This window comes from Homo sapiens, chromosome 9, assembly GCF_000001405.40.
Source record: "Homo sapiens chromosome 9, GRCh38.p14 Primary Assembly".
Lineage (NCBI taxonomy): Eukaryota > Metazoa > Chordata > Mammalia > Primates > Hominidae > Homo > Homo sapiens.
In genome coordinates this window covers 95,803,647-95,817,410 of record NC_000009.12, presented here as the reverse complement: position 1 = coordinate 95,817,410, position 13,764 = coordinate 95,803,647, and the positions used below count along the sequence as shown (strand labels likewise).

The 13,764-nt window shown below is 43.6% G+C and overlaps 2 long non-coding RNA genes across 2 annotated transcripts in view; one reads left to right on the top strand and one right to left on the bottom strand.

Moving 5' to 3' along the window:
* Nucleotides 1–11,323, top strand: part of ERCC6L2-AS1 (ERCC6L2 antisense RNA 1) — a 69,890-nt gene extending 58,567 nt beyond the window's left edge. The window contains exon 3 of the long non-coding RNA NR_023390.1: nt 3,489–11,323. This is a non-coding gene — a long non-coding RNA (ERCC6L2 antisense RNA 1). The remainder of the gene's footprint in view (nt 1–3,488) is intronic.
* Nucleotides 390–2,072, bottom strand: LOC107987103 (uncharacterized). Its single transcript, XR_001746851.2, has 2 exons — nt 1,831–2,072; nt 390–635 (listed from the first exon to the last, which is right to left on the bottom strand). It is a non-coding gene; the product is annotated as an uncharacterized LOC107987103 (long non-coding RNA).
* Nucleotides 11,324–13,764: the final 2,441 nt, after the last annotated feature.

Here is a 13,764-nt window from a genome sequence, read left to right as displayed (position 1 = left end):
CCGGCCCACGCAGGGCAGGAATGTTAGTGCCAAAGGTGTCTCTGAGGTCATGTAGCCTAAACTCTAAACATTTTGTGTTCTTTCAGAGTGGAAACGATGTTTCAGGTTAGGAAAGAAAGTAAAATAAAACAAAATGGAATGGAGCAGAGAGGAAAGAAAAGGAGAAAAAGACAGTAGAGGGGAGGGAAGTGCAGGAAAAGGGAAGAAAAGAAGGGAAAAGAAACCATAAAAGGTATACCTGGATGATTCTGCCTCTGGGGGAGAAAATTAATTTCTTGAGATTACAAGGCTGCTTTGTTGTAGGTCAGGCTCCCAAATTTAAGTTTTCTGACTTTCTATTTGATATTAAATGTCCTTTAATAGACGAAATGATCATTGACATCTACATGCCCAATAGAGTTAGATATTTATTACCGTTCTCCATGTTCAAGTGAATTTTTCTAGCATTACTCATTTCAATGAGCAATTTCTGTCTAGGTCTGTGCCCTCTACACGTGGGCATCAGTGGCTCCACAGCCAAGCAGGCAGCAGATGGTGAAGGCCAGGTCAGTGAGCTGCACCCAGCCCCTCCAGCAAGCTAAGAGGGCCGGTCAGGGGTCCTGGCATACATCTCCCTCCAGTCTGTCTTTTTGCACCTGGGTGAACAGAAATGGATTAATAATAATCTTTGGTTCTTGACATACTCTCCCCGTTGGTCCATGCACGCCCCTCTACGTTTTCTATGGAGAATTTTTTTTTTTAATAATTGTATCAACTCCCATGGACTCACCAGGCAACCTGGAAACCAGAACCCTGACAACACCGTGCCTCCATCGGCAAGGTGCCCCCATCCTGGCTCCTACCTCCCCAAACCCGGAACTGGAGGTAGTCCCTTTCCTGGGTCTCGTGATGCTTTTTCCCTTTGCTTTAAAACCCTTGTCCTTTTTGAAATAGATGACATTCCTCCCTGTGTTCTCAAAAGGCATGTTGTTTAGTTTGGGTTGCTTTTAGCTGTGTACAGAGGTATCATGCTGGAGGTAATTTTTTGGTACTTGCTCGGAAGGAGGAACTGGCCTTGCAGGGGACCAAATCCTTCCGCATTCCTAGGTGGAGAGAGAGCCCAGCCACCATTCCCTGAATCTGGCCCTGAGCTGACCCAGCGGCCTAAGGAGGGCTGCCTTCCACGCCACCCTCTGCAGAGGGGAGCTGACAGCGCCGGAACACACGGGCCTCTGCCGGGGTCTGCTTTTGCTCGGATTCCCCACCTGTGCTCCAGGCAGAGCTTCCCGCCACCCACTTTGCAAGCCTGCTCGCTCCCCCACCTGTACAAACACAGGGCTTCCTGTCACCACGTGGCCTAGCAGCGCAAGGCCGCGGATGGGGAGCTTCGAGTTTTTAATTTACTAATGAGAACGATTGTAGACCTGGAAAACAGCTGTTATCCCAGGGGCCACGACACAGTGTAATTCAATTGCGTCTTTATGATTTCTGTCTTGTCCTTTGCAATTTCCCACAAACCTGAAACATGTTTGGCTACTCACTTTCCATCTCACCGCGATCACAAGACTTAGCACTCAGAGAGACTCTTACAGCATGGAATGGTTTTTACTCCCTAAGTACCAAGTGGGAAGTAATAGGATATGGACTTATTCATGCTGTCGTGGTGCAATGTAAGGACGCTGAGTCTGCAAGGATAGATAACTCATTTCCAAATAGGGTCCCTCCCACGTCCTCTGTCACCGCTATTATTAACCATTTTTTAAAAAAAGAGGCTGATGTGTCATAGTAGAAAGAACATGGACTTCGAAGTCAAGACAAAAAAATGAGTTCCAGTCCCACTTGTGCGTTTACCTGTTATGTGGCCTTGGACCTTGCCTGCTCTTAGTTTCCTGGTCTGTAAGATGGAGCCGGATACCGACTTCATAGGGCACGAGGAAGATGAACGGAGACAAGATGGGAAACAGCGTGGCTCGCACAGCCTGTAGGTCATGGGTAGCCTTAGCGCAGGCTCCCAGCTCCTCACCCTGCCTCCGCAACAATCCGAACACTCCCACTCTCTCTCCATTCTGATCCATTGTACACCACGGTCAGATGACTCATCCCAAAGCAGCGTCTTGTATATATCACATTTCCTTCTCTCCCCAACCAAACCACACCCCTAAACAACAACAGAAACCCTTCGAGGTTTCCCAATGCCTTCAAGATGTGCGAATCCTTTAAGTCGGCATTGATGCTCAACCGAAATTTAGAGTCCATTTACCGCCTCACAGGGGCCGTTATTACTCCTATACCTGAATCCGCTGCGCTACACAAACTCATTGCTCTCTGAGTGTGCCAGATTCATGCCAGGCCCGTCTTTTCCCCTGCTCCCCACGTTCATGCCGCTCCCCTTGCAGGGACTGCTTGCCCCTCCTTGGCATTGTATATTTTCTTTAAAATGCGGATAAAGTCCCATCTCCTCCTCTCCCATCCCATTGGCTATTTAATGTATCCCACCTTGCTTTGTTGTTAGTGACCTGTGTATGTAGCCAGCAGCGCCTGGCATAGGCTCTGTAGAAGACGTTCAGAAACGTGAGGTAATGACTGCAGGTATAAAAGCACAAATTTAGAAATGCCTTTGAAACCAACTGGAATTCAACTCATAACAATTTTCTCCCATGCAATTTTGAAATATCAATAGCCAGACTAAAATTATCAAGCTTTGAGTTTGTGTATTGCTCTGTGTGTGTGTGTGTGTGTGTGTGTGTGTGTGTGTGTGTGTTTAGGGAGCTGCATTTAGTGGTTTAGCTTCACTTTATTCAGCTCCAAGTGGGAAATAATTATCTTCACTTCTTTCTCCTGCTACTCGCAGCTGATAAGCTCTCATCAGACCACGCTGATTGTTCAAGCAACCAAAATCATACCGGAATTTAGGAAAGATAATTGAAGAGAAGATAAGGTTGACAATTGTTGACCAGTTTCCTCTCTTTAACTTTTCTCCCAGACTCCCTGCATAGTTTAATCTTCTGTATTTTGTGTGTCTTTTTGCTAAAGCAGCTTAGCCTGTAATTTCATCCAAAGCCTTCCAATGCCTTCCCAGAGCCACTTGAAGGCATTGGGAAACCTCAGAGAGTTTCTGTTGTTGTTTAGGGGTGTTGTTTAGCCTGTAATAAAATACACCAAAGAAAGTGGTCTTCTCAGAGCCCCCCAGCAGCTGGGGGGTGCTCTGGCTAGTTGGCAGTGAAGGACATTGAGGAAGGAGGCTCTGTTTAAGCTCTAAACTTGGCTGTTTAGATTCCAGGCATTCTTGATAAGTTATACCTAAACCAGTACTTGGACAAGGACCAAAGGATTATGCATCAGTGCCATACCCAAGATATTTGAGGATTCTGTCAAATTGAAGATTGACTAGTGTCCATGTGTAATGATGTAGTCAAGAGAATATTGAATTGAAGCAATTAAACAGTAATATCTTGAATTCATGTTTTTGAAAAGGCTGTTAACTAAGTGTCCATTTTTCTGCCCACCAGGAAGAGTTTGAAGTTTGAAATCCCAGAATGAGGAAATTCATCCAGCTTGGAGACTTCCAATCCCTTCATTGTGCAGAAGGTTGCTAATGCTCTCAGGAGAAGCCCTTCACCAAGAGAATACTTCCACATAGAGTCCTCTCCATTGAGACTAAGGAAACATGCTATGTCATGTAGCCACAGCAGCCTTTGCAGCTGTTGAAGGCAGCAAGACTTGCATGGCAATCAGAAGACACAGAACCAAGACTCATATCCAGTTATAAGATGGCAGATGGGACACACACTCATCAGGCTTAGTGAGCAGCCAATCCAGAGGGAACCATACTCAGCCCTAGGGGCTGGGCGCGGTGGCTCTCGCCTGTAATCCCAGCACTTTGGGAGGCCAAGGCGGATGGATCACCTGAGGTCACGAGTTCAAGACCAGCCTGACCAACATGGAGAAATCCCATCTCTACTAAAAATACAAAATTAGCTGGGCATGGTGGTGCATGCCTGTAATCCCAGTTACTCGGGAGGCTGAGGCAGGAGAATCACTCGAACCCGAGAGGCAGAGGTTGTGGTGAGCTGAGATTGTGCCATTGCACTCCAGTCTGGGCAACAAGAGTGAAACTCTGTCTCAAAAAAAAAAAAAAAAAAAAAAAGCCCTAGGAAGATTTCTTCAAACAGATGAAGCTAATGATATCCCCAGTGTGTTTGAATATATTGAGAGATCACACAATAGGGACACTGTTTAGGGTTGAATTAATAGCAAGCAAATGGGATGCTAAGGAAATATAAAGAATAAAAGTTCAAAGGGAAAACAAAATGTTATTCAAGAAAGTCAAAACATCCATCGTAACTTTTTTTTTTTTTGAGACAGAGTCTCGCTCTGTCACCCAGGTTGGAGTGCAGTGGCGTGATCTCAGCTCACTGCAAGCTCCGCCTCCCAGGCTCACGCCATTCTCCTGCCTCAGCCTCCCGAGTAGCTGGTACTACAGGTGGCTGCCACCACGCCCGGCTAATTTTTTGTAATTTTAGTACAGATGGGGTTTCACCGTGTTAGCCAGGATGGTCTCGATCTCCTGACCTTGTGATCTGCCTGCCTCAGGCTCCCAAAGTGCTGGGATTACAGGCGTGAGCCACCGCGCCTGGCTCGTACACTGTTTTATATACCACTTGCAGTATCATGATTGTATAAATACTAAATATCTATTGATCTATCCAAAACTACAACATAAGTATTTTTGGAATATGGAGGAGTGGGTGCTGAGTATGCATGGGAGAAGGGAGGCTGAGGTGAAGGTGGGAGAGAAGGAGACAGTGAAATATTCATCTTCCAAATTGGAAACTCAAATAGATAATGCCTAAACATGAAATATCAATAGAAATGTAATATTTAAACATATGGTGGTGCTTCTGGGAAAAAGAAAAGAGGATGGAGAAGACTGTTTGTTTGTATGTTTGTTTGTTTAAACAAGCAATATGGATGAAATTACAGGCTAAGCTGCTTTAGCAAAAAGACACCAAAATACAGAAGCTTAAATGAGGTAGGTATAAGTTTCTCTGTTTGATATGATCTCAAGAGAAGCAATCTGGGTTGGAAAGTCACCTTTATGATCCTCAAAACGTAGCTTCCACCTGTGGGACTAAGGCAGCCATTCTAGTTTTGTCTTCCCAGCCAGAGGGAAGGAGGACAGGGTCAGGAGAGCACATGTGCATAACTGATAGGAACATGCCCCAGAAGGGCCACACATCCATCGGTCAGGATGTGGGCATAAGGACCACAGCTGCATGGGAGGCTGGGAAGCATAGGGTCTAGCTGTTAGCCACGTGCTCAGCTAAGACACTGGAGCCCTGATATTAAAGAAGGTGAGGAATGATGCTAGTGCTCAACCAGCAGTCTCTGTCACATCAGCTTTGCAGAATCATTTGATTCTTTCAACTAGGTGCATATACAACTTCAATACAAATGAAAACTAAATATAAGACATGGTTCTTAAAAATCATCTTTTGTACAATTGAGGACACAATCAAAACCCAGACACCAGGGTCCTGAAGCAGAATGCAGGCATCCACAGAAGAGGCGGTGCTGATGGACTGGACCCCAGAGAGTCCACACCTGCTTGGTGCCATACCTTGGGTCCCTCCAGATCAGGATGCTCCCAGCAACTTTTCTAGGATGGTTATACTGCACATGCTGCAAAGATGAGTGGGCATCCCTGCAAGCCTATGGTTTTAGAGTAAATGGTTCCAAAAGAAGGTATGAAGCAGACCCATAGATGGGGATTAGTGCATAGGAGGTTTATTGGGGAGTACTCTTGGGATCAACATCTGTGAGCAACGAGAAAGAAGCAGGATTGAGCAGGGAAGAAGGTGGGTGTTCTGGAGCTGAGATCAAACTTCAGAAGTGTTGTGGCAAGGGGGCCCAGTATTGGTGAGTCTTTCAATGTGACTGCTCCAAGAACTCACAGCTTGGGGGTGTCATCTCAGGTGAAGTTGTTGTGTTCAGCCTGGGCAATTCTGGAGAGGCCTGACAAGTGAGGCCTGCCCCTGCAGAACTCCTGGCAGCTCAGGGAACACATTTTTCATTCCTGAGATGTTGCTTCACAGCATCTACTCTGTGTGGATCCAAGGAGCTGCCTCTGGGTCTCTGGGAAATCAGTCGTTTGAATTTGGATTCCAGCGTGTGGCTCTTACATTTCTTTTTAGGAGAAATCCAATAGTGGTGCTCTCATTATGATGACAGAGGGGCTGGGAGGTGCCAGGGGCCCAGCAGGGAAGTGGCAGGAGTACAGCAGCATACTGTGTAACCTGGGCTAGGTTTTTACTCAAGGTGGCTTAGGACAGCTTTTGAAGATTACAGGGAGAAGAACCTAAAATATAGGCAAACCAGATGATAACTACCCTGCTTTCATCTGTGCCTCAGGGTGATTAGTCAGCATTTGTTGGTTAACATGTCAAGAACCCTGTGATTTTGTCAAATATATATTTGGTCTTTGACTCCATTTTCTGACATACAACTCCTAAAATCCTTATAATCTCCAAAGTGATAGTGTCTTTTTGTATGCTTATGAGTTGACTAGTGGCTGACAGCCTCTATGTAGCTTCAGGACAGGGACTGGTCACAGGAAAGACCAAGGCAGCATTAGAGGGTCGGGACTCTTAGCCCCCTACTCCCACCTCCAGGAACCAGAGAGGGTGGAAAGGTTGTTGACCACCAATGGCCAATGATGTAATCAATCCTGCCTACAGAATGAAGCCTCCATAAAAACCCAAAAGGACAGGGTTTGGAGAGCTTCTGCATAGCTGAACACACGGAGCTTCCTAGAGGGTGGCACACCCGGAGAGGGCATGGAAGCTCCCTACCCCTTCCCCCGTATCTCCCTCTAAGCATCTCTTCATCTATATCCTTTGTAATACCCTTTATAATAAACCAGTAAACCTATGTTTCCCTGACTTCTGTGAGCCACTCTAGTAAATTAATCAAACCCAAAGAGTGGGTGGTGGGAGCCCCAATTTGAAGTCAGTTGGGCAGATGTTCCAGGGGCCCCAACTTGTGACTGGTGTCTGAAAGGGAGATCAGTTTAGGGTACTGAGCCCTTAACCTGTGGGATCTGAGGCCATCTACAGGTAGATAGCCTCTGAATTTTTTTTTTTTTTTTTTTGAGACAGAGTTTCACTCTGTCGTCCAAGCTGGAGTGCAGTGGCTTGATCTTGGCTCACTGCAACCTCTGCCTTCCAGGTTCAAGCGATTCTCCTGCCTCAGCCTCTCAAATAGCAGGGATTGCAGGTGCATGCCATCACGCCTGACTAAGTTTTGTATTTTTTAGTAGAGATAGAGTTTCTCCATGTTGGCTAGGCTAGTCTCACACTCCTGGCCCCAAGCAATCCTCCCGCAAAGTGTTGGGATTACAGGCATGAGCCACAGAATTGAATTGAATTAGACACTCAGCTTGTGTCTTCTGCTTGGTGTCTGGGGAAACCCCCACATTTTGTCACTGAAGTCTTCTGTGTTCACTATTTTTTTTTTTTTTTTTTTTACGTAAGAGCAGAGGAAAAACTGTGTGAGTTTAAGTAGTTGACTCACAAACCCTAATCTTAATTTAGGTTCCAGAATGGCCCAAGGCAAAGGTTTTAAATAGTCCTTCTCCATCTGCCCTAGAGGGTTTATTTGTTATCACAGGGGTTGTTAGAAGGAAATTTTCTTTGAAGAAATGAGTGATGCTAAGGCATGTAGTTGGCTGAAGAGACTTCCACTGGCACCTCCTCCCTTGATCTGGCAAACCCAGCAGCTGACCACCTTTGGAGTGACAGAATCTCTCTCTCTTTATGGATAGAATTCTGTCCTATGGTCCCCACCTAATGGAGAGCCACCTATGTCATCTCTGTCACCTACTCTGATGTTAAAATTTTGTTGTGACCACAACAAAGTAAATATTTCCTGCAAGATGCTTTCCAAAGTACCTAAAAAGACAAGAGAATGAGAGGAGGAGGTTGCATGGCTATTTTTGTACTTACCTCCCAATAAATGTTCGTGTGTATGAGGCAGAATTTGGTCTGAGACTTGCTTTCATTTAAAAACAAGTCCTGGTGAGGTAGTGGGAGGGAAAGGACCTAGACCTTCACCTCCTTCTAACTGCTAGAGGCTACCAATATTTTTTAAAAGAGCCTGATATTTGTGAATGGCTAAATAAGCCCAGAGATTAAGAAAGTAAATGATGCCTCATATTCTTGCTGGTTACATGTTCCAACAATCTGAACAGTAAAGATACCTGAAAAAAATGATTATCAACACATTGGTTTAGTGCAGTGATTGATCATAAAAGATAAATGATCCAGCTGTAGAAATTGGGAATATGATATATGATAATGATAGCAAGGCAAACCTAACCTGATTATTCTAGATATTCATTTGTCATTTACATGGTGTCTGCTACTGGACTTGGCTTTGGGCAGGCTCAGGTTCTAGAAGAGTCTTTCATGCCCCCAGTGATCTGTGGCATGGCTATGGACAATCCCTGGGTTTAACTCCTATGTGTGAAAAATCTAGAGGATTCTAGTGGCCGAACATACAGAAAAGTAAATCCAAAATCTAATCTTGCTTTGATTTATGTGGTTGGAAGCGGGGAGGTTTGGGAAATGCAGTCAGACAAAAGTCATCCCATCTAAATATTAAATGCAAGAGAATTAAAAGGAGACAGAGAATAGAAACCACTGTCAATATGTTGCGAATCTGACAACTCTGGGATTAGACATGATTTTCCCATGTTCCCTCACACAAACCCTCCATTCAGGCCAGGCCTTTGCTCTTTCTATCCCCAAGAGCTTGCCCACCAATTTACACCTTGGCTCATGAAACCTAGGTTGCCCTCCTCTATTCACAAACTCTCACCACCCTTCAGCTATCCCATCCTCATGTATAAAATGCCTCCCCAACTCCTGTTAGCCAGTGTTGATCTCTTCCTGTAAACTCTGTTAACTTTGCCACTTATATATTTCATACTTTTTCTTCTTGAGATTCTAAGTCCCACAAACATTTACTGGGGCAGGCGGACCTTGTAGTCTTGTGAGACTATGGACAGATGAGGACTGTCCATGGTTAGACATGATTAGTGAACAATCCTATACTGGGAAAACACATGCTTAAATGGGACAATACTGAAGTATTATTTGCTGCATTCTGGACTTCTTCCCTTAATCTGCATTTTTTTCTGGGCAAAAAGCCAGAATGGCCCAAGGCAAAGGTTTTAAATAGTTCCCAGGAAGCCACATTCAGACTGCAAAGGCATCCTACTGAAGGGGCCATGGTGTTCAGAAAGGTAGATGTCCTCTGGGTCTTGCCCTGACCCCAAGCACAAGGTCTTTCCCCTTCTGGAGTCCCTGCCGGGTCTCTGCTCAGACGTGGTCTGCCCTGCAGCTGTTGGGCTGGGAGCTGGAGGGCAGGCAGGCAATGGGTGGAAATCAGGGGAACGTTTCTCTTCAAAAACTGCTGTTTGAAGGCAGAAACCAGCTGTGCACCTTTCCTAAGGATTCAGGATGAGGATGTTGGGATTTGAGAAGATAGAAAGATCTAAGTCAAAAGCCATTTGAATAAGGTAGAAATATCTTTCTCCTGAAAGGAGGCTAAACATAGAGACATACCCCAAAGACATGAGAAAATGAGAGTCTTTATACTTGGTGAAAACAAGAAATGAAAGATGATGGAAAGATGCATGCAAATTATCTTCCAGCTTGCTCTTTTGAAGATGCTCGTCTAAAAATAAGATCACGTGGAGGAGAAATGACATGTCTGGTGCTGAAAACAACCCTACTGGGACCAGGAGATGTGGAGCAAAATGTATTCAGAAAGAGACTTTGCTCTGGAAACCATTGCTCACTGCCCTGCTGCCAAGGTCACAGAGAGCTGGAGCTTTGCTGCTGCAAAGCTGTTTACATACAAGGATACACAGGAACGAAAGGTCATGGGAGGTACTTGAGCCTGGAGTCTCCAAAGTCAAAAGACAATAAACACACCAACTTTCAGGGCTTTTAACAAGCACAATCGGGCCAAACAAATTCTCACTTTGGATGTAGATCCACAACATCTTGCAGCAGACGGAAATAGGACTGGGGCAAGAGTTGGTACAAACAGAAATACTAAGTTTATCACGACCAAAATAGGCAATGGAGGGTAAAAGCCCGCAACCTACTTCAAATATATCTGAACTGGTGTTAAAACTAAGCTAGCATTGAAGAGAGGGATAAAATTCAGGAGCAAGTTTCCAAAGAGACTCATAAGAACCCAGAGAGAGGAAAATCTTTTTCAGAAAATTCATAAAAGTTAATGAGTCGCCATTCTGATGTAACGGAGAGAACTTCAGTAATATGACCAGTGATGGAGTTGGTGTGAAATGCATAGACTCCACTATGACCTGACCGGGTATTTCCTCAGCAAATATTTGGGTATATTTAATTGAAATGCATTTGTGGCAAAAGTCAACTCCTACAAAAAAATTGTTAAAATATTCTTCCTGGAAGTTGTCTCCCAAAGTGACTCACATCAAGTAGTCTGAATAAATATGGTGAGACTTGGCACCCTCTGAGGCATCATTTGCTAGGAAGAAAATGCTTTTGAATATCCTAGAACTCTTGGAAAACTTACAGAACCATTGGCCTCATGCAAGCCCATTGTCCCTGTCCAACACACCCCCACATCCCCTTTCCCTCACCATCAGGCACGAAAGTCCTTCCTAAGTCGCAAATGCAAATCTAACTGACTGGCTTCCTTCTTACAGACCAACCACAGCTACTTGTCTTTGAAATTCAACTTCAAGGAAGACAGAAAAGTCTATTTTTAATCAGAGAAAAACCTCAAATTGAGTGCGAATTACTGCCTAGGCCCTGTTGAATGCACACTAGAATCACTTTTGAGATGATCACTAATTTTATGGAGTGATATACACCAGAATGAACTTCTAGCCTGCTTTATAATCAATCAGTTAATCAACAAGTCTGAGTGGAGCGTGTATGCTTTGCGTTATCTGCAGTGCGGCCTGAGGTTACGGGAGAAAAAAATGGCACTGTGTATTGCTTGAATGCTCAGGGCTGCGTTCAACTAATTTTAACCATTGAATCAAAATGATCAGGTAGAGGGCAGGAAATGTAGAATGGCTTGAACAACTACCTCATGAAAACATGCAGTATGCGTTTGTAATTCAGCATCTTAAAATGTCTCTTTTGGCAGTATTTCTTTACAAATGTGGCAAAGCATGATATCTTTGAGTAAATTTTTAAACTTCACAAAAGTTTCTGAAAAAAATATGTACAATCAAAGAAAAACACTTGGAAATAAATTCTGTCTATAGTTTATGCACATTTAATGTATTTTCTCCTGAAATCATTATGCATCAACATTTTTTGAAATTTCTCTCTCTTAGCCTTGTAAAGTCCTAATTCTAGTTTATCACACTTTGAAACAACTTTCCTTCTTTTTTTTTGAGACAGAGTCTCACTCTGTCACCCAGGCTGGAGTGCAGTGGCGTGATCTCGGCTCACTGCAAGCTCTGCCTCCCAGGTTCACGCCATTCTCTTGCCTCAGCCTCCCGAGCAGCTGAGACTACAGGCGCCCGCCACCATGCCCTACTAATTTTTTGTATTTTTAGTAGAGACGGGGTTTCACCATGTTAGCTAGGATGGTCTCAATCTCCTGACCTCGTGATCCACCCGCCTCGGCCTCCCAAAGTGCTGGGATTCCAGGTGTGAGCCACCGCACCCGGCCCTGAAACAACTTTCTATACCCAAACTCAACTGGATCCCAGAGCCAGCCTATTTCACATATCAAATTGAAAGAGTTCTTGCATGAGTGTCATTTCTATTAGACTAGAAGAGCTTACAATTTACAATTTATAAGTTATTTTAAAGAAACAATTAAATTTTGAAATTTAGCCCCCTTGTTGCTTTTGTTAGGACTGTATTCTCATAATTGCACCTTGCAAAAATAACATTTGCTAGTGTTTCTTCATGCTTAAAACTGTAACGAACATACCAATGTCTCATACTCCCACCACCTAGATAACTTTGATAACATGCCTTAAAGATTTATTCCCTTGCATGACAAAAAATTCAAGAAGTACAGAAAGTTGTAAAATGAAAAGTAATATTGTACTCATCTGGTCATTGTCACTCGGATTATTAGCAGTTTTTTAGAGCTCTTTCAGAAAACATTTTTCTTATATACCAACATGCATGCACACACACATATATACATACATATTTTCTATTTCTTTTTATACAGAAGATCATACAATCAGTACCTATAGTGCCTCGTCTGCCTCATTTTCACGTCTTGAAGAACTTCCCATGTTAGCACAAATAGACCAATTTCATTCTTTTTAACAGCTGCATACAAGGATACACAGGAATAAGACACCCAATTCTGTCAGATGCTAAATATATCCCACATAGTCTACAGTATATCTCAATAGCTCTTTATAAATAGACATATAAGTAGTTTCCAGTTGTTTTCTCAATTAAAAAATGCTAAACGAAGATCCTTTTATAGCTTGACTTTTTTAAAAGTAAGTTTATTAGTCAATTAAATTCCTAAAAGTGGAATTTGGAATTTGCTTATTTTTTAGAGAAGGGGTCTTGCTAAGCTGCCCAGGCTGGCCTTGAACTTCTAGGCTCAAGTGATCCTCCACCCTAAGCCTTCCAAGTAGCTTGGACTACAGGTGCAGTCTAAAAGTGGAATTTTTTAAAAACTAAGTTTTCCAATGTATTCTAACCTTTTCTGTTGCCTACAATTTGGAGGGCAAAGAAGCTTTCTAATTTTTTTCAGGTTAAGAAGGAAAAACAACCTGGAAAACATCAGTGACACCCAACGTGCTGGCCTGGCTGCTTTGATTAATTTCACATTCCAGTGTGGAGGTGTTAATCTTGAGAATACACTTAAGAACGAGGTCCACAGCAATGTTCTTCTCACTTCAGAATAATGCAAAATGAGCTATCTAGTAGGTACTGTGTCCGGAGTTGGTTCCTACCAGGTGGGTTCATGGCCTCTCACGAACCTTTGCAGTGAGTGTTACAGCTCTTAAAGATGGCACAGACCCAAAGAGTGAGTAGTAGTAAAGTTTATAGTGAACAGCAAAAGAACAAAGATCCCAGGGTAGAAAGAGACCCGAGCTGGTTGCTGCTGCTGGCTGAGGTGGCCAATTTTATTCCCTTATTTGTACCCTCCATGTTCTGTTTTTGTCCTATCAGAGTACCCTTTTTTCAATCCTCCCTGTGATTGGCTACTTTTAGGATCCTGCCAATTGGTGCATTTTACAGAGCACTGATTGGAGCATTTTTACAGAATACTGATTGGTGCATTTTACAATCCTCTTGCTAGCTACAGAGCGCTGATTGGTGCATTTTACAGAGCACTAATTGGTGCATTTTACAGTCCTCTTGATACCTACAGAACACTGATTGGTGCTTTTTACAATCCTCTTGTAAGACAGAAAAGTTCTCCAAGTCCCCACTAGACCCAAGAAGTCCAGCTGGCTTCACCTCTCACTAGCACCTCCATGCAGTGAACCAGAGAGAGAATTCATTAAGAAACATGGCCATTTAAAAATTATTGACACCTGATCAAGTCTTTGTGATGAAGTCACACCATCAAGAGTGTTCTCAGTCACGCTGAACATGCAAATGCCACTAAAGGCAGTAACCACCTCCAGTCTCTCTAAAGGAAGTTTTATATGAAGCCGTTGGACCTGGAACTCAACTGTAATCACAGAAGATTTCTTGGGAGAGAATAACTCACCCCTGTATAGCATCT